At 49.2% G+C, this 20,017-nt stretch overlaps 1 pseudogene, besides 4 other annotated features; it reads right to left on the minus strand.

Annotated features, from left to right (window-relative positions):
* GEMIN8P1 (gem nuclear organelle associated protein 8 pseudogene 1) lies at nt 1-1,123 on the minus strand (annotated as a pseudogene).
* Nucleotides 1,963-2,159: a silencer, noted in NCBI's record as "fragment chr15:70097321-70097517 (GRCh37/hg19 assembly coordinates)". NCBI's record gives its function as "represses an EF-1alpha promoter that drives an FKBP-Casp9 reporter gene in an ReSE screen in K562 erythroleukemia cells {active_cell/tissue: K562}" and the evidence as "EXISTENCE:reporter gene assay evidence [ECO:0000049][PMID:32094911]".
* Nucleotides 10,752-11,577: an enhancer, noted in NCBI's record as "H3K4me1 hESC enhancer chr15:70106110-70106935 (GRCh37/hg19 assembly coordinates)". NCBI's record gives its function as "activates a minimal SCP1, AML or CMV promoter by ChIP-STARR-seq in primed H9 embryonic stem cells {active_cell/tissue: H9 hESC(primed)}" and the evidence as "EXISTENCE:reporter gene assay evidence [ECO:0000049][PMID:30033119]".
* Nucleotides 17,605-18,126: an enhancer, noted in NCBI's record as "NANOG-H3K4me1 hESC enhancer chr15:70112963-70113484 (GRCh37/hg19 assembly coordinates)". NCBI's record gives its function as "activates a minimal SCP1, AML or CMV promoter by ChIP-STARR-seq in naive H9 embryonic stem cells {active_cell/tissue: H9 hESC(naive)}" and the evidence as "EXISTENCE:reporter gene assay evidence [ECO:0000049][PMID:30033119]".
* Nucleotides 18,649-19,170: an enhancer, noted in NCBI's record as "H3K4me1 hESC enhancer chr15:70114007-70114528 (GRCh37/hg19 assembly coordinates)". NCBI's record gives its function as "activates a minimal SCP1, AML or CMV promoter by ChIP-STARR-seq in primed H9 embryonic stem cells {active_cell/tissue: H9 hESC(primed)}" and the evidence as "EXISTENCE:reporter gene assay evidence [ECO:0000049][PMID:30033119]".

The following is a 20,017-nucleotide window of genomic DNA, read 5'->3' on the forward strand; positions in this document are numbered from 1 at the left end:
TCTAGGCAAGAACTTTAATGAATTGTTACCGACAACATAAAAAAAACAGTATAATATATACAAAATCATCATTTGATGTCAGGAGAAAATTCATCATGTCGGCAGCAGAACATGTCTGCCGACCTCCAAGTGGCTGGCATAGTACATCCACTCTGTGACAGGCCCACTGGGACTGTGGTGAACATGCCTGTACCTCAGTACAAAGTCCCCTTTTACTGAGAAATGTACAGAAGGAGAGATGAAGAAAATGTACCCAAAAGGAAGAGGGAGAGGTTGGGTGCCCTGTGCCCCGAGCTCAGAACTTCAGGGGGATGACCTGCCAGTACTTGGGCTGCTTTTGGTCACAGTGCTTGTCAAAGCTCAGCTGCACCGCAGCCTCCATGGCCTGGATCTTGGCGCTGTCCCCATACAATCGCTTCATCTCGGCCTGGGACGCTGCTCTCTAGGCCTCTCAGTTGGGGCCTCTACCAACCAGCGGGTGTTGCAGTACAGGTCAGGTCGTGGTCAGCCTTCACATAGCTTTCCAGGTGCTCTGCATCCAGCTGCTGTCACCACCGTCCTTCTCTGTGCCTCTACCGAGGCACTCTGCAGAGTACTGGCGGAGCTCTTTGGTGATTTCCATATTGCTCAGGTCACATTCTACCTCTGCATCTAACTTGATCTCCATCTCTTCCTCTTTGGACAAATCTTGGTCTTCTCTTGTGGATGCCTGGATTCTACTGCTGTCATGTGGCTGCTGCCCAGACCCTCTGAAATGTAAAGAACTGCACGGGGAGTCCTGCCAGGTCACATGATGGCCATAGAAGGACTAAGGATACGCAGCCTGGTTATCGTAACAGCTTTGGGGAGGAAGTGCAGGAGGGAAGTACCAAGGAAGACTGCAACAGGATTCCCCGGCCTTCCTGTAGGCATTGTGGTGGCTTTGCATCGAAGCCATTGCTTGATGATAATGTTGCCAGTATCTTGCATATATCGGATGAGAATACCAAGGCCTGGTAGCTTTCAATGTTCATGCCTTCACCGCTGCCGTCTCTGATTGTGAAAGTCCAAGTGGGTGCCGAAACTCATGGGCTCTCAGCTTGCATATCCTGAGCGGTGGCCAAGCAGGGGCCTAGTTTTCCTTCCTTAGTGAGAAGTTTTAAAGATTCCCTGGTCACTCATTGTTTTGAGCTAGATGTCTTGTGAATTAGTAGTTGGCACACACTTATTGCTTACCCCTCCCTCACATTCATTTCTTCATCGCCTAACAACAGCTCCTGATTGGACTTGGGGTCAAGCCCTCTCTTAGCCCAGGTGGCTTGGGTGGGGGTTCTTGAGGTAGAGCACATGACCCTGACCTAAGCCAATCATCACTTCTCATTTCCCAGGTCACAGCAATTAGTTCAGGGGTGGGCATGTTACCAGAGGCTAGTACAATCAGAATGAAGTCAGGACTTTTGTGGAAAGCAGGCTCAAGTCTCCCTGCTAGACTTGAACCCTCAGGCTTGTGAAATGAGCCTTGGGTGTTACCTTGAGTTTGAGAATAAAGCTGAGGACTGGAGAGAGGTCATATATTGGAGACAGCACAGAGCTCCTGATCCAGCCTTGCCTGAAGCTGGCCCTACCCTTTGATCTTTTAGTAATAGGAACTAATAAATTTTCTTTTAGGTTTAAACACATTTGGGTCAGATTATAAGTTAACTGAAGTAGAATGAGTCCTCACTGATACAAGTATGATCAGCAAAAGAAAAAGACCAAATATAATAAGGAAGACATATTCCTTGATATTTATAGTTTGGAAGGCAAAAAGGTTAAAGGGGACCATTCTCATATCCCCATGGAATCCATGGAGTCACAGTCAAGCACTCCTGGAGGGATCTGGGTGCCGGCATCTCCAGCCAGCCCTGTGATAGAGATCTGAGGAGTTCCCCTTAGAGCTTCTCAAGGAAATCCTTGATGCAATAAGCCGCACACTTAGGGAAGCTGTTCTCTCCAGACAGGGTACAACTTGAGAAATGGTTTCAAAATGTTTTGACATGTTCCTGAATGGCAGGTCTATGGGAGAACAGAACGGGGGCTGTGGTATGTTTGAGGCTTTCTGTGACCTAGGGGTAGGTGTCAGGAAAGCTTCCAAACTCTCCCTAGAGGCCAAGCCAGGGCTGCCTGAGAGGCTGGACAGTGGGCACTCAGGCCCCACTGGGCAGGGACACCAGTGTGTCATGCTTGTTGTCACACTTGGCTTATTTGCTCTTCTCCACCAGGAATTCTGTGGGGCAGGGGATTGCACACTGCACACATCACAGCTGCTCATCCAGGGTTCAGGGAGCACAGGTGTTGTGGCACTTGCTTCATCTTGAGTGGCACGGAGCACAGAGCAGCCCCTGTGGAGTGTGGAAACACCAAACCCTGAGTCACCACTGACTGTTGCCCTGGGCATAGAACCCCAGGTGAAGGCACTTAACACTGGTTATCCCTGTGCATCCAGGAAGCTGAATGGCGGCCAAAGAAAAAAGTTACAATGCAGTCAGGCTGGACCAGAGAATTCCTGCATGTGCAAGTTTGTGCGTGTGTATGTTTTGGAAGTCAAGCCAGATGTCGTCTTTCCTCATGTGACATTTGGTATCTTTTTTCCACAGCAGTGTTCCATTATGTTCTAGTTCTTGAAAGAGGCAGTGAGGCAACAAGTGTACGACGAAATTGATTTGGGAAATGATTTATGTGTATTATAGTCTTCTCTTAGAGGATCACAAAGTATATTAGCATATTAAAGGCTCTGAGAAGTCCTGTAATAAAGGAGCCTGGTTGATTGAATGATTGTGGAACTCATTGTGGGTGGATCATTCGCATACTGGATGGAATGGGGTGCCAGGCTGACTGTGCAGAGGGTGATTAGTCCCTGAAATGTAGATAGGGGCCACCTAGAGAATGGTGGAGCGTCGGACATGGATGGGTGAACTGACCAACTGGGCTATGCATTTCAGCCCCAAAGCACTTAAAGCATAAGGTAGATTGTAAGATCCTGGAGTTCACCTGCCTTAAACACCTCCTTTCATAGGAGAAGGACACCAAGGTCGTTAGAGAAGAACTGAGTTACTCATGATCACCAGTCAGAGCTCTTGGCTGCACCACATAGATGCCGATGTTGGATACCTAGGGAGAATGAGATTTGATGGAAGGATATGGAGAAGGCCACTGAACCCACTGGAAGACTGGAGAACCAGGTCCAGAAAACAAGCAGAAGCCAAGGGAAAGTGGGCTGCTGAGAGCATAGCCAGATCATGCCACGAAATCTGATTAGCCCACTTCAGCTACGGCCCATGATGCATCAGAAATGGACCCATGGCTCTCTGTGTTCTTCCCAGTGGGTACAGGTGATTGGCTGAGCACAGACTGCGTTCCCCTCCCTGGCTGTTAGGGTCTGGGAGAACAGGTGGGAGGCTTTTGTGGCTTCTGCAGCAGAAGCCCGGAGCCCATCTCTCCCAACGACTCACACAGGAAGGAAGCCCCCATCTGGTTGGGGGCAGAATGAGGTTACAAAGCCCATCTCCTGTCTTGCAGTTCAGATTATGCAGCCAAGGGTACTCTTTTACATAAGTGTTTAAAATCTTGATTTAATCAGCAACATAGACCTTGCAGCGTTCCTGCTTCCATGATAGAAGGATATGAACTATTTGAAACATTCGCAACTACTGCTCTCCTTGGGGATTCCTACCCTCCTTCCATTCTTTACTCACTGGCCTCATGGTAGAGTAACTAGAGCAGAAATGCAGAGCGAGAGAGAAACAAATATGCAGCTTTCGAAACCCATGGCAGAGACAATAGTTTGAGAGTCTCAAAATCTTGCCTTTCGAGAATCCGAGTCCTGACACACAGAAATCAGGAGGACTAGTGTATGGTTTGTTAAGCTACTTTTTCCCACCTACCCAGTCTACATTAATGACTCCCTGAGCAAAGAAAAAAAAAAGTCCTTAGAAGGAAAGAGAATTAAATGCTGGCATGAATCTCTGGGAATGGTCCTGCCTACACGTTCCACGCTCTCAAACTCTGAAGTTGAGGGGACGATAGAATCTCCAATAATTTAGGGGATCAGAGAGAAGAGAGACAGGTGCCCCCACTCCGTGGGGAGGCAGGAAGCTCCATAGAGAAGTCCCAGCATTCAGTGTCGTGAAGGACCAATAGATAGGCAGGAAGCAACCTCCGGGGGGTTCAGGACGCATCACAAGCCCTCATCCCCCCGGTGTTGTGTAGCGAACAACAGAATGTTTCTGAGTGTATCTGATGGTCCTGAGAGCCAGAAAACCTGGAGGGCCTTGAGCCTGGGATGGTAGGATGTAAGAGCAGGTGCAGGTGTGGACCAAGGGCAGGAATGAGGATTCCCCACCAGTCCACAAGGGGTGGCCGCCACCAAGGACCAGCTGGGCAATGGCCAGTCCAGTGGCGCCCAGGGTGGACAGCTGACGGCAGAGAGCCAGGCCTGCTTCCCCAGATGCACTGATGTGATGTTTTCCCCACCTCAACTGAATCCATCCTCTGGGAGAAGGTGAGAAGGGGAAAGCCTTGAATTGACTTGAATGGCGGTCCTGCTAAAAGTGGAATAGCGGATCAAAGGAGAAATTAGATTTTTCTTTTTAAAAAAAAAAAAAAAATCTGAATGTGTGGCCTGTGACATTCATTCTGATATAATGTAAACTGTAGTTTATGCATAGAGTTAAAACTAGTCCACAATATTTTCTTTAGAAAGGTTGCAAGCACCTGTCTCCTAGAATTATTATCAAACACCATTTGACTTTGATTTTCCTTACCCACATCCCAGGTCAAAGTTAAAATGATTGGCAGCATGTTGGCAGTGACTTCCCGTAAAATAGGGCTGGCACTGCTGGTTGCCTTTGGGCCCAAGCCCAGCAGCCACTGAGTGCCCAGGAGCAGCCCCTGTTCCTCCTGAGGCTAGGCCTCCTGGGTTGCACCCTCGATGAGTCACGCTTGTTCCTGGCTTGGTGATCGTAAACACTGGAGGAGATGATGCAGATGACAGTCTTTTGAAAATCTTAAATTTCTGCCTGTGTCTGTGGGACTTCGGTCAAGCCTCCCCTTGGGGCTCAGTTTCCTCATCTGTAAAATGAGGTCACCTTTGCTGCCCTACTGACAGTGGTGGCAGCTTTCATGCATCCAGTGTCTACCACATTTGAGCACTTTCCACTTCCAATCAGATCTTACTTCGTCTCCATGACAGCCCTGCTGGGGAGGTGCAGTCAGCCTCGGTTTACAGATGTGGAAACAGCTTCAAAAGAAGAAACCTGCCAAAGCTCAGACACATAATTAATTCATCAACTCTAAGACTCAGTAGATTGTAAGACACACAATTATTTTACAAACAACAAAAATAGGAAAAAGGGGCCAGGCGCGGTGGCTCACGCCTGTAATCCCAGCACTTTGGGAGGCCAAGGCGGGTGGATCACGAGGTCAGGAGATTGAGACCATCCTGGCTAACACGGTGAAACCCCATCTCTACTAAAAATGCAAAAAATTAGCCGGGTGTGGAGGCAGGCGCCTGTAGTCCCAGCTACTCAGGAGGCTGAGCTAGGAGAATGGTGTGAATCTGGGAGACGGAGCTTGCAGTGAGCTGAGATCGCGGCACTGCGCTCCAGCCTGGGCAACAGACAGAGACGCCATCTCAAAAAAAAAAAAAAAAGAAAAAAGAAAAAGAACTGCCAATTATAACAGCAAGGTGTCACTGATTGCAAGACACATTCCGATTTCAGAGCCGTTAAAATGCATACAAAGGTGGGGCTTAGAATTTTTGGACTACTGAGTGGAACTGATGGTGAAGGTGGGTGTGATTCCAGGGCTGAGGGATTCCAAAGTTTGAGTTCTTTGTGTTGGGTCAAGTGGCCACCCAGAGAGCTGATGCATGCTGATGTGAGACTCCTACAAGCCATGAGACAAAACAGACTTATAAACATGTAACGTGTTGTGTTGACACAAGGAACCAAGCAGTGATGAGGAATGTGCCAATGGCTGAGATGGAGCAACCCACTTGCTGAGTCTTGCAAAAGCAACCTCCCTAGATGAACTTTCAGTGGATTCTGGGTGGAATTCTGTCACAGCACAGAAAACGGACTTCTTGCCATGGCGCTTTATGCAATCCCATCTTAGGAGCCAACTTGTCAAAGAATTGCTTGGCTTAACTCAGATCCAATTCACCTACAGAGAATCAACTCCAAAACAAGCATCCCAGGTTTGTTGCAGAGCTGATGAGCCTTCCGGTTGGTGAGAAGGGCCAGGAAAAAAATCCAAGAGACAACCTGGGATCCCCAATGGTTCTGCCTTGCCCAAGTCTGATGCTGCTGGAGGCTCCTGTGCCTGTCCCTTATCTGTCCCCTCTCTTTGGGTGGAGCAGGACCTGGCTTCCCTGGGGCTACTGTCTTGAATAGAGCATAACAAGCACGCACAGACCCTGTCCTGGAACCTGCCATTGCTGTGAGATTCCCCTCCCCAAATCAGATCTGCCCTCAGATGGAGCCTGAGTAGACACAGTCATTTAGACCTTTAGTTCCTCCTCACCAGGTGCCCACAACTGGTTTACCACCTCTGAGTCTGGCTGATCCTTTCCTGGCTCCCTCATCTCCTCTACCAACCTCTCAGATGCTACCATCTGATGTAAGTTTCCATTACTGTTGCTGGCTGGGGCACACTAAGCATCACCAGCTCTAGCATCTTAGGAACTTTATTTCATCAGGGCTTCCCAACACTCTCTGAAGCAGGTGTTACTTTTATTTTTATTTATTTATTTTTTTTGAGACAGAGTCTTGCACTGTCGTCCAGGCTGGAGTGCAGTGGTACGATCCTGGCTCACCGCAACCTCCACCTCCCAGGTTCAAGCGATTCTCCTGTCTCAGCCTCCTGAGTAGATGGGATTACAGGGGCCCACCACCACACCCAGCTAATTTTTTGTATTTTTAGTAGAGTCGGCATTTCACTATGTTGGCCAGGCCGGTATCGAATGCCTGACCTCATGATTCACCCACCTCGGACTCCCAAAGTGCTGGGATTACAGGCCAGCTGAAGGGTGAGCCACCGCACCCAGCTGAAGCAGGTATTACTATCCTCATTTTAAAGGTAGAAAACCTGAGGTTCAGAGAGGCCAATCACATGTTCAAACGACACAGCCAGCAAGTGAGAGAGCCTTCACTAAGTCGTTATAGAGTGCTTAGAACAGTGGCTGGAACAGCATGAACACTCAGTAAATACTTGTTAGATGACAGAAGGAAAAACTGCCTTATGGTGATAGTGCTGAGAATTTCATCACGAACTAGTTATTATTTAATTTTATTCAACCGAGCACCTGCTTTTGAGCCCAGGGTAGACCTACAAAGGATATAGGTTCTAGGCAACCCAGGTTGTAACACACACACACACACACACACACACACACACACACACACACACACACCCCTCCTTTAATGACCCGCCTGCAATTGATATACTGCTAAGTAGCATTTCTTGTACTGGGGAGATTCTATTTCCACACCAGCAGCAAATATGACCTTTGTGTCAGCTGCCAGCTGCTTATAATTCTGACAGATGCAAGCACATTTCTGGGAAGCTGTAGCCACTCAGGACCTTGCAGATCAACAGGCAACACTGGCGGCTTTGGTAAGATTGATCGGCCGGTGAGAATCCCATTTACAGCCCTAACGGAGCCTTGGTTTACCACGGCCTGGGCACTAATGACTTAGACAGCTCTGATCTAAATCTGTCAGCCAGGGCTGGTGGCGATATTAAAGAACACTCTATTTATATGAAGCAGCAATTAGAGGAATGCTCGCCAATGGGCCACCTCTTCCAAGTAAATCCCCAGCCTTCCAAATGGTGTCATGCTCACGGTTATTTTAATCCGCTTGGAATTTCAGGGATATTAATGTGACGGGCCATCGCAGAGGATTAGCCAGGTTTATTTCTGCTGACATTTCAGAGAGCACACTCAGGTTCCCAAGCCATGCCCCCACGCCTCCCTGGCGCATCACTGGGGGAGGCAATTGAGGGAGGGAGAAGCAGCTGCAATGAGGGTGAACCTGTCTCCCTTCAGCCCTGCCTCCCATCTCACCCTTCCTTCCCCTGCCTCCTCTGCCTTTCCTCCCCACTTCCCTCCAGGCCCCTTCAGTCTCTTCTCCCTCCCTGTTCTAACTTTTTCTTCTTGTTCTCTCCAGGAAACAAGCTCTTGTATGGGGTTGCCAGATAAAATACAGGATGCCAGCTTAAATGTGAATTTCAGATAAACAAGGAAGAATTCTTTTTTTTAGTGTAAGTACCATGCATTTATGTTGGGACATACTTAGACACTAAAAAGTTCCTTTGTTGTTTACCTGAAATTCACATTTAATTGAGCATCTTCTATTTTTATTTGCTAAATCTGGCAACCCTACATAGGAAGAGTGAGTATAAAGTAGAGAGGCCACTGCTGGATAAAAAAAGTGTCCCACCTTGGTCTGCCAGTTAAATTTGTCCTCTGTCATTGTCACCTTGAGAGATTCCCCAGGCCCTGTGCATTCTGTTACTCAGCCCCTTACTTTCTGATTATTTTTTTCCCACTATATTGTGAGTCTCTTGAGGGCAAGGACCAAAGCTTAGTTTTCTTTAGCTCTGACATCTGGGGTCAGAGAATAAATATTTATTGAATGAATGGATGAATAAAAGAATGGTTTACTCCAAAAAATGATTCTGTCATTTCTTAAAGGGTTTTTGGAATTTTTTTTAATCCAGTGATAAACCCCATTGGAAGAACAGCCCTTTCATCCTAGTTATAAATGTTGCCTCTGCTAGCTTTCAGGAAAGGTCTGAGAGGGGACTGGGTGGCCCTCTGGAGATATGCTGGCTGTTAACAGCTGCTATGAACATATTTGAATATTGTAGCTGCAAGTATGGCTGCACTGTTGCATACAGCAACTGAATATTAGTTCTGGAAACAGGTAAAATTATTATCACCCTGTCTGACAGGTAAGCAAACTGAGACCCAGACAGACTAAGAAGTTTGCCTCTGGACACACAGCTAACAAGCAGCAGTGCCAGGTTTGAATCCAGGCAGGCTGGCTTGAGAATCCAGGCCGTATTTCCTCTCCCAATGATCACTACCTTTATTAAGTATTTAACATACCCGTGCTGCCAGGCACTGTCCTAAGCACTTTCTTTATATGCATGCAATCCTCACAACAATTCTATGAAATACATACTCTCATTATTCCCACTTTACCAATGAAGAAATTGAGCCAACCTGAGGCTTAGTTACTTGCCCAGGGTCATGCAGCTGGCAGGGAGAGGGGTCCGGATTGAACCCCTGGCTGCAGAGTTTGTGCCCCAACCCTCACTGGCATGCGGCAACGAGGTCAGGACCCTCATTCCCAGTTCCACAGAGCTTATATTGTGGGATTACAGGACCTGGCCCCTTGTTCATTCACCCAGCCGGTACCTAGAAAGCACTTGGGCCTTGTAAGGCTCTGACTGTGACAGATACTATGAGGGACAGAAAGGTGGATGGATCCCAGTTCCTACCTTCAAGTCACTTAGCAGAGGAGGGAAGATCTGCACCCCATCCATTCTCAAGTGCCAGCTTCATATGCTGTCTCCAGAAAGTGTCATCTCCACCTCTTTGCTCCTCTACACTCCCGGCCCCAGCCTGGTCAGGAACCAGGTTGGCTCTTATATATACTATTACAATAGGCTCCTAACAGTGTCCTGGTCTCTCCAATCCATCTTCCACCTCCTATCCCCCAAATCAGGCCATGGTAACCTCCCCTGCTCAGAATCCTTCAACACTGCCCTAATGCGTTTTGACAACTTTCAAACGCGCCTTTTACTAGTATGTCATCTCCATGTGCCCTGCCTCCTCATGCCCACAGCATGGAAAACAGATGTGAGTGGGGCTGTGCCAGTTGCAAATGAGGGGGTGCCCTGAACGCTGCGGCCCGGCTCCTCATCCTACAGCCCCGCCCCTCACCCTGCAGTTCCGCCTCTTTCCCCGCAGCCCCGCCTCTTTCGCCGCAGCCCCGCCCCCACCCTACAGCGCCGCCTTTTTCTCTGCAGCCCCGCCCCCACCCTACATCCCCGCCTCTTTCCCTGCAGCCCGGCGCCTCGCCCTGGCTTCCTCCCTCTTTCCCTGCAGCTTACCTGGCCATTGTATGGAAACCCGGCGTTCCAGGAAGCAGGGTCACAGCCAATGGCCTGGACAGTCAGGACTGTACTCCATAGCCCGGCCTCACTGCTATTTGTAGTTTGGTTCTAAACTGCAGGATCCCTCAATTTACTCTGCAAAGTCCTGTACTCCAGCCCCAAATTACTTCACGTCCCCCGTGTTAGCTTAAGAGTTTCCAGCAGTGGGGTCTGGGTTTGTACTTCTCAAGAGCCCAGCTCTCCCCTTAGGCTGGTGGTATCACCTGGCACCCTACAGAGGACGCTGCCAAGGCTGGAGACAGCGCTCAAGAGGCCGGCTGGGAGGCAAGAGTCCGGGGAGGAAGGTGGAAGCCAGGGACGAGAGCAGTGACTTTGGGGTGTCAGGGAGGGCCAACATCAGAGGCAGATAAAACTGGCATGCTGGATATGAGGCACAATGAAGATGAAGTCCCAAGACAGGGTACAGGCAGGGGTGGGCAGTGCTACAAACTGAACTATGGAAAAAACAAAAACAAAAAAAAACAACACTCTCAACAACCTTGAGAAGGGGAATAGTTTGAGTTCTGTCCACCACAAAATCTATTTACCTGCTTCTGGGTAACTTTGAGGGTAAGAATTTGATTTCAACACCTTCCTCTGGCAGACCATTTTGGTCACAGCCCAGGGGCCATGCCTGGGTGTCCTCTGTTATCTGCAAAATATGGGGGGCCTCAAGGACACCCCTCCCCCAGGAATCGTGTCCCCCTGGAGATGGGGAGCATGCAGGGAGGATGACTGGGGAGGCTCAGGGCTCTAGTACTCATCCCGGACTCTGAGCAGTGGAATGAATTCCAGCCCTCCTGCCCTCCTCTAACCACATGATTTGCGGTTGGGCTTAGACCAGACTGGCCTGCAGGGTGGGGCGCCATGCCTGCCCTTAGGCAGGTGTGGGGAAAGGCAGTGTGGGGAAGGCCCAGCCCCCGCTGTGTGCCCGGCACCAGATGGGCACTTAGCCCGTGGTCATGTTGCATGGTCACACCAAGCCTGGGAATTGGGAATTATTGTCTTTATTGTAGAACTGAGCTACCTGACCCTCAAAAAGATAAAGGAGGTTGCTCAGGTCACAGGGCAAGTAATGACTGGCATCTGGCTTTGCCTGGTTGTGGCTTCAGCTCTCAGTTTACCCCTCCCTCCCCACATGTATACCCACTATCCTCTGCTCCATCAAGTGGAACTGTTTTCAGACCTCTTTAAATTAGCTCTCTCTGGCCTTTTCCATTCAGGCATTGCTTCCTGCAAGAAACCTTCCAGGATCCCCAGGCTGACAGCTCCCCCTCCTCTACACTCTTGCATTGCCAGGCATCCTCATTTGATTATAATTGCCTGGTGACTTGGCCTGCCCCACTGCATCTCAGTGTCTTTCCCTTTCCCACATCCCCAGACCTAACACCTTCCCAGCACACAGTAGGTGCTCTATCTGTGTTTATCCAGTGAGTATCTCCAAAGCCTGTGTTCCTCCTCTGTACACTGAGGCTCGCAGCAGTGTGGTAGACAGTGAGGAAGAGCCTCTGGACAGAGTCCTGGGTCACCTCTATGAAAATCCAGGCCTTGCAGAGTGAGAATCTCTTGGTTATCTGTGACTTGGCTGAGACTGGGATGCTGGGAACCCCATGATAGCCCATCTGGACATGTGGAAATGTAGAAGTTAGAGGTTTTTATTGCTCTCTTATGAGTCTCTAGACAATTCCCTCTAGAAATGGCAGACCACAGCAAGAACCCAGGTGTGTCCAGAGCTTGGCAAGGGACCAAGAGGGATGCAGGCATGGCTCCACGACTAGCTGCTTGACCCAATGTCGAGCCAGGAGGAGGTTGACTGGGGCTCTGACTCCCCATCCTGAAGACCTGCTCATAACCCTCCCCAGCTTTGCTCGTTGGACAGAGCCCTGGTTCCTCCAGAGTGAGCCGTGGAGGGCGTGGTGAATATTTGAACTCCATCTAAACCCAGCTGGGTACGTGTGCACGTGGGGTCTGGAGGCTGCTGATGGAGAAAGAGCTGGATGCGCATGACAGGACCAGGTTCAAGGCTGAGAGCTGCCTCTTCCTTGTCAGGCATTTGTGCGCAACTCTTGACTCTCCAAGTCTTAGTTTGCTCACCTATAAAATGGGAAACATAATACCAGAGTCATAAAGAAGGTTATGGAAGAGTGGAATTTAGAAAGCGTTTGGGTAATTCAACCAGACTGCCAAGAAAGTTACTCTGACTATAATAGGGAGTTTAAATAAACGTGGACTCTCTCAACTGAGGGGGCCCTGCCCTTGGCATCAAGAATATACACAAATGTGGACTTGATCCCTGCTTTCAAAGGTCTACGGTCTTGCAAGGGAGTCACAACTCACACAGATCCACAATCTCAGGAACATTTCCAGCGTGATGTGCTGAGCCGAGAAAGTGCAGAGGGGGTGAGGCCAGGTGCCAGAAACAGTCAGTAGGTGCCTGATGGAGGCAGAAGGGGCCTGGCTAATTCTTGAAGGAGAGGCAGGACTGGAGGTAGTAGAGTCCTCTCAGGCAGCAGCTTGAGGACCAATTCTCGGAGGTGGGACCAGACTTGCTCTGAGAGGGACCTGGACAGCAGAGAGGCTCTTAGCTGTCAGTAGGAAACCATTTTCCATTTCTGGAAAATTTGTAGGGAATGGAGGATGGGGAGTTGGGAAGCAAAGCCAAGGCCCCTCCATTCTACACAGGCCCCAGGAAGTGAGCCTGCACCTGTCTACCTTCCAGACTGCAGGCCAGAAGGAAATACGTTCAGGCAGCTTTGAAGCCAGGTCCCCATGTCTGTCAACCCCTGCTGCCTTGCCCAGAAAAGCCCCTGCTTTCCTGTGGTTGCAGTGTGGCCTATTCAATGCTGTCTAGGGTGTCTGTGTCAACACTCACTGATTTTCCATCCACTAGAACAAGCAAATGTTCTGAAGGACGGAGAACACCCTTCCTCTCCAAGACTTTCTGATCATCTGGCTTGATTTAATTTCCTGGTGTGTATATTTTTAATGTAATCATGAGAGAGCCTGTTGACTCTTTTACTTTTGGAGTTGATGCTTCCATTCAGAAAAAAATGGGGTTGGTATCCCTTCTCCTCACTCTAAACCTTTGCAAAAGGTAGTGCAGCAGGGCCTTGGTAGGGGCTGACCTGCTGGGTCCAGGGCAGAGCAGCGGATGTGGCTGGTGCAGGGGGCACATGGGCCACAAACCCTGATGTGGGGTCCCTGTAGGCCTGAGAGAGTTGACACCTCATGAGGCCACTAAGATTTCATGTGTCTCATCTTCAACCAAGGGCAGGTATTTCTCCCTCTGCCTCAGTTTTCCTCTTGCTGTCCCCTTCCTTACATCCCCCATCCCACATAAGAGGTGTTCACTGCAGGAGGGAGCTCTACTCTGAGTGTCGGTTTGGCTTGAGAGAAGGCACCAAGCAACAGGTTCAAGGGGTCCCTGGCTGCATAGCTGGCTTCCTTTTGAAATTCTTTAGCTTGAGAATGTCCTCAATAAAACCAGACTAGGATTGGAGCACAACTCTTAAGTAACACTTAGCTCATGATGAAACCAGACAGCATGTAACACTATTGGTTCCACGTGGGGAATCTGGTTTTTAAATCAATTTGGAATTCCATTTGGGTGGAAAGTTGGGCTCCACCTTTGTGACAGAGGGTTGGCCAGTGGGGGCTGGGAATTCCAGTTATGACAGAGATGGGGGGCTGCCATAGGGATGGAAAAGCTGGCAGGGGCACACAGCAAACAGGGAAATGGATATAGAAATCCAGTTTGGAAAATCACATTATGGGACAGGGTCAAGCCAACCTGGGTTCAAATCCCAGCACAAACCCTGAAAAGCAAACTATTTACTGTATCTGAGCTTTGAGAGAGTAAATAGCCTCTTTTGAGGCTTCTTCAAAGAAAGAAAAAGAAAAGAAAAGAAATAAAAGAAGGAAGGAAGGAAGGAGAGGGGAGGGAGGGAGGGGGGGAAGAAAGGTTGATTCTTAGCCCTTTGAGGCTGCTATAACAAAATAACTAAACAGCATAGCTTATATACAACAGAAATTTATTTCTCACAGTCTGGAGGCTGAAAATCCCAAGGTCCAGGTGGATTGGTGTCTGGTAAGGGCCTGCTTCTGGCTCTCAGGTAGTGCCTCTTTGCTATATCCTCACATGATGAGGGTCTCTCTGGTGTCCCTTTTATCAGGGCACTAATCCAATTCACCAGGGCTCCACCTTCATAACCTAATCACCTTTCAAATACCACCTCCTAATACCATCATCTTGGGGGTTAGGATTTCAACACATGAATTTTAGGGGGACAAAAACATTCAGACCATGGAAGGAAGGAAGGGAGGGAAAACATGCACCCTTCTCCAACACTACATGTTTTATTTAAAGTTGTATCATTAATTCCTGGCAGGGTGAGATAGAGGGAGTGATTACACCTGTGGTCAATCATTGTTAATTTGTATTGCATCTACTTATAAAGCTTCACGTTAGTTAAATACCCATTATCTTAGAACCCTAGAACAGGCCTCTTTATCTGCTGGACCTCCATTTCACCATCTAACAAAAGTAAATAATAAACAGAGTCGCTTTTTCTCAAGAGTCCACAGGTCGGAAAAGAAAGAGCATGTGTGGGCCAGGAGCGGTGGCTCATGCATGTAATCCCAGCACTTTGGGAAGCAAACACAGGCAGATCACGAGGTCAGGAGATCGAGACCATCCTGGCAAACATGGTGAAACCCCGTCTCCACTAAAATACAAAAAAATTAGCCAAGTGTGGTGGCATGTGCCTGTAGTCCCAGCTACTCAGGAGGCTGAGGCAGGGGTATATCTTGAACCTGGGAGGTGGAGGTTGCAGTGAGCCAAGATCTTGCCACTGAACTCCAGCCTGGTGACAGAGCAAGACTCCATCTCAAAAAAAAAAGCACAGGTGTGTTGGATTCTATAGCCAAATCAAATCAAGACCGAATGCCAGCCAACGGTATGAGCTGAGAACTGGTTTCCTCATTCAGTCATTCCATTGGATGTCTAGGAATTATTTCTTGAGCCCCCTGCATCTCAGTTTTCTCACCTGTAGAGTGGGTTTTCACCAAGGTCCTACACCGAGGTTGAGAGGATTCTATATGGCAACGTAAGTGAAAGTGGGCAGAGGAATGACATCTTTTCAGCAGCCTGCCAGGCATGCCCAGAGCACAGCTAACAAGGGAGGGGAGCAGAGCACATTCTAAGAAGATTTGTAAGTGGCCTACTGTGTGTTCTCTGGGAACTGCTATCTGGGCTCGTTAGTGAAGAGAATGGATAGTGGAGTCAAACAGGAGAGAGTTTAGAGCCCTGCTTTGCTTCTAACGACCACTTTGGACAAGTCTCCTAATCCCTCTGAGCCTTAGTTTCCCTATCCATGAAGCATCTCTGTGTCGTAGGCACACTTAGAATGAGGCCAGGCATGTAATAAGCACCCAACGGCTGACTAGCTGCTGCCCCACCACTCCGCCGAATCACATGTAACCCGAAATTCAGAGTCAACATAAGGAAGAAAGACTGAGTCTCCTGCTTGTTTTAGATTTGGCTGCAAGTGATTCAATGAAGCGCATGACACCATCCCTTGGCACAGTTTAGAGAACACGGTGAAATTTTAAATGAAGTTTGGCTAAAGACAGAGTGATTAACTGCTCACGCAGGTCCTTCTTTCTCTCCTCCCCAAAAGCCACAAAAATCTAGCCAACTAGATGGAATTGTCATCATGTTGCATTGACACCCAACTCTGTTCCCATTAAATGCATTCATTAGCTAGTAAAAGTTCAATAAAGCCCCTTTTGATAGCTACTCACTTCTGCCCCCTCTCTACTTTCCCTATCAAAGACCCTCCCAAGTTTCCGTGCAGTCGTCAAAGCCCTCCACCAGTTTCTGCCCAAACCATTACTTCTGAGGCTGGAGCTCCTGCAGAATGGAGAAACTGCCTTTAGAAAGATATAAATAGGGCCAATTTAGACGTCTTTCTTGCCATGGTTCCACCGAGGACTGAAGGACAAAATGAAGAGATTCCTGAGACTTTCTTTAAATGTTACTTCAACTCTTAGCTAGCTCCTCTTTGACAGCAAATGGATTTCAATTATGCCAAGCCTGTGAGCAGGAAACATGGAATTTATGCCTTAAATTTCCCCCACTCACCAGTGATTCAGGTTTGTTTATGCCGCCAACAAATCTTTGCGCTGGTGACGTTAAGGTGCAGGGAGCCATGGTTTGATTTCTCACAGAAAAGCTCCCCATTCAGGGCAGCTTTCCAGGTGTGCTCTAGCACAAAGGCTTTGATAGTTGGTTGATTTCTCATTGAAGCCCAGAGTCAATCATACAGCTTTTGAGGTCCCTTCTGCCTGCCATGTTCTGCCCCACTCTGCCTAAATGCAGTGTCGCTGCAGGGGAAGCCTGTGGAGGTCAACAGCAGAACCACTGGGCCACTAGCTAGCTGAGGTGGCCTTGGATGGGGCCTCACCTGCTTCACAGGGTTGCTCTGGGGATGAAATGGAAGGTGAATTTCCTAGGAGCTATGTGGCTCTACACAGATGAAAGCTGTCACTGTCTTATCTGGCTTTCTGTCTGGTTCTGCCTGCTTGCTTCTTTCTTTGATGTTTTAGACTGGATCACAGCTGATGTTCATACGAGAAACTTCTAGACTGTTTTTTCTGCCCAAAGGACTAAATATTAATTTCTGTTACCTACAGTTTTTCCAGGAGGATTTGCTTGTGCTTATCTGCATAGTGAGCCTCAAGATTCTATGGGAATGAACTTAAAAATCTTCTGGCAAGGCTGGGAGCCCCTGGAGAACCAGACCATGAAGAAGGAAGCCCCTCCATCTTCTAAAGAAGGTTGAGAGGTCCCCAGTTTACAGTGATACAGTTAGTATCACTGTGACTAAGAATTGGGTCAATTATATTAAAACACAGAATTCAGCGGTCTTAATCTGATTTCTGTTCTGGAAGCAATGATTATATATGCTGAGCCCTTGGCTAAGAAGACCTTTATGTTTCCCTGAAAAAACTTGGGTAATAGGCCAGGTGCGGTGGCTCACGCCTGTAATCCCTGCACTTTGGGAAGCTGAGGCAGGCGGATCACCTGAGGTCAGGAGTTTGAGACCAGCCTGGCCAACATGGAGAAACACCCCATCTCCACTAAAAATACAAAAATTAGCCGGGCATGCTGGTGGGAGCCTGTAATCCCAGCTACCCGGGAGGCTGAGGCAGGAGAATGGCTTGAACCTGGGAGGCAGAGAACCTGGGATGCAGTGAGCCTAGATCACACCACTGCATTCCAGCCTGGGCAATAGAGTGAGACTCTGTCTCAAAAACAAACAAACAAACAAAAAACAGAAACAAAAATTTGGGTAATAATGGCAGTAGATGAGCCTCATGTTCTTCTGGAGAAATGACTAGAATGTGGAGAAAACCCTGACCCTCCGATCCAACTGCTGCATAATGGGTATGCTTGACAACCTTTCTAGAACCTTTCTGGGTTGAAAGTAAGAGTTGTGGGAAAAAAACCAAACCACTACTAATGTTAAAAATAGCTAATAATTTACACATTATGAGATATATGTTATTTAATCTTCACAAAAGCCCTGTGAAATAGTCATTTTTAGCCTCGTTGTGCCAAAGCTGAGAGGAGGAAATGGCAGCTGAGAGCATTCCACGCCGGCTGTGTGAACCAATTGGTTGTCTTTGTGGCATCAAGGATCCAGCTGGGCTCCCCACTGTGCAGGGCTGAGCCTTGGGAAATACAAACACACATGCCTTCATCCAAGAGCGGAGGTAGAGGGTCAGGCAGGGAGGCCAAGCCACTGTTAGCTCTGTTTGCATGAACCTGAGGCTGTAGTGGTTCAGGAATGTGCTCGTCAGCTTTCCTGACGCCTGACGTGGACCAACAATCCAGTCTCAGCCCTAGACATGGGCCACCTGGGAGGGAGGCAGAAAGGAGGAAATGGGGTTGGTTTAGTGACCACGTGACCAAATAGGGGGCCCCTAGGCTGGCCCTCCCACTGATGGTGGGAAAGTGAGGGAATCTCTCCTCTCGAAAGCTGTTAATGGCTTGCAGCTGCCTATGATAGGAAGTCTGCACATCTTAGCTGTTTTTGAGCTAGACCTGATTCTTACCTGATTCTACCTTTCTGTTTGCAGATGTGGGAACTGAGGTCCAGAAAGAGATGTGTCAAAAAATAATAGAAAAGAAGGCACCAGACTAGGTCTCTGGTCCCAAACTCAGGACTATTCAGATGCTGCTCTATCCAGTCCTTGGCCCTGGCCTACAAGACCCTCACTGACCAGTCAAGGCCCATGCATTGCACACTTCCTCAGGCACAGGGCTGTGTGTGTCTCTGCGTCCCCGATGGCTGCCCAGCACAGGGGTGACACCCTGAGCTCCACACATGCTTACTGAATGGATGGATGGATGGATCTGACTTGGGAAAATGTCTCTTCCCTCAGCAGCTTCCTTCACGTGCGTGTCCAGGGACATGGCTTCTTCTCTGGGACCATGTCCAGGAACCAACCAGCTCGAGGGCTAGGAGGGCTGGAGGTCACCTAGGACTGGTGGGGAAGGGTGGTTAGCAGGGAGGAAGCAGGGGCGGAAAACCTCCAGGGTGTTAAGCTTGTTTTCCCACTTAGACTAGAGGCTCCTTGAGGACAGGGGCCAGGTCTTCTCCCGCCACGGTCCTCAGACACAGGTCTCCGACCTGAGATGCTTCACAGACATCTGGGTTTGGAAGTGGACCAAGTCCAGACCTCCAGAACACCAGCTGCCAGGAGCCTCTGGACTGAGTCCATGGGTTGTCGTAGGTGACAGCCTTCGAGCTGCCTCTGATGGACATGGACTCGAACCTGGCTTCTGCTGCTTTGTAGGTCTCTGACTCGGGACAATCACGTGGCCTTTCTGAGCTTCAGTCTCCATCTCTCTGTCTGTCAGATGAGGCTGACAGGCCGCCCTGCAGGGCTGTATGGGTTGGAGGGGACGGTGCACCATGTCTAGCACAGCCCCTGGTGGGACCGAGTGTCCTGTGGCAGCAGAGCGGGGTGCCTGCAGGCCATGGCCTCCCCTGGGCTTGCTGCCTCCAGTCTGGATGCTGCTGGGGCCTGGACCTGAGTGAGGCAAGGAGATGGGGCAAGGCCAGGGACCCCAGCACCCCAAACTCCTGCCTTTACTGTGAGGAGAACCCTTCACTGAGGGAACTAAGGCTTTCCCAAGAACCCTGCCTTGTAGGACCTTAGCCGTTCCAGAGCCCCTGACGCTGGGGGGCACTGTTGGCATGAGGGGCATCCCCAGAGGTCCTGCCCTTGGAAAGCAAGAGATGAGAAAAGCGGACCTCCCCCAACCCCAATCAGACACATGTCCCATGAAGGGTGAAGGATGAGAGCACATCTGAGTGGCACTAGAGTGGGGACCACACTGGGATGCTTTGGAATATGTCATGATGCAGTGGAAACATGGTCAATATCCAGAAACTTGGGTTCAAGTCATTTCTGCATCGATTCAGCTCTGTGGCCTTGAACAAGTAACTTAAAACCCCTCTAGACTCAGTTCTCCAGTCTGTAAAATGACAGGCTGGACGAGAGCACTGGTTTTCAAAGGTGGGGTGTGTGCAGCGGCAGAATGCTTTGAAACTCACCAGGAGCAGAAGCTATATACCACCGAATGCTAGGAGGGCGCAGGACCTCAGTGTGGCATCCCCTTGGGCTCTCACAAGGGCTGCCCCTGGGAACTCAGTTTGCAAACCTCCGGAGTAGAAGCCCTTTAAGGTCCTGGTCAGCTCCAAACATCCCCAAATTCCTGAATCTTCCACCAGGGATGGTACAAGCAGTGGTGCCTGAAGCACCA

The sequence above is a fragment of the Homo sapiens genome, chromosome 15 (assembly GCF_000001405.40).
Source record: "Homo sapiens chromosome 15, GRCh38.p14 Primary Assembly".
Classification (NCBI taxonomy): Eukaryota; Metazoa; Chordata; class Mammalia; order Primates; family Hominidae; genus Homo; species Homo sapiens.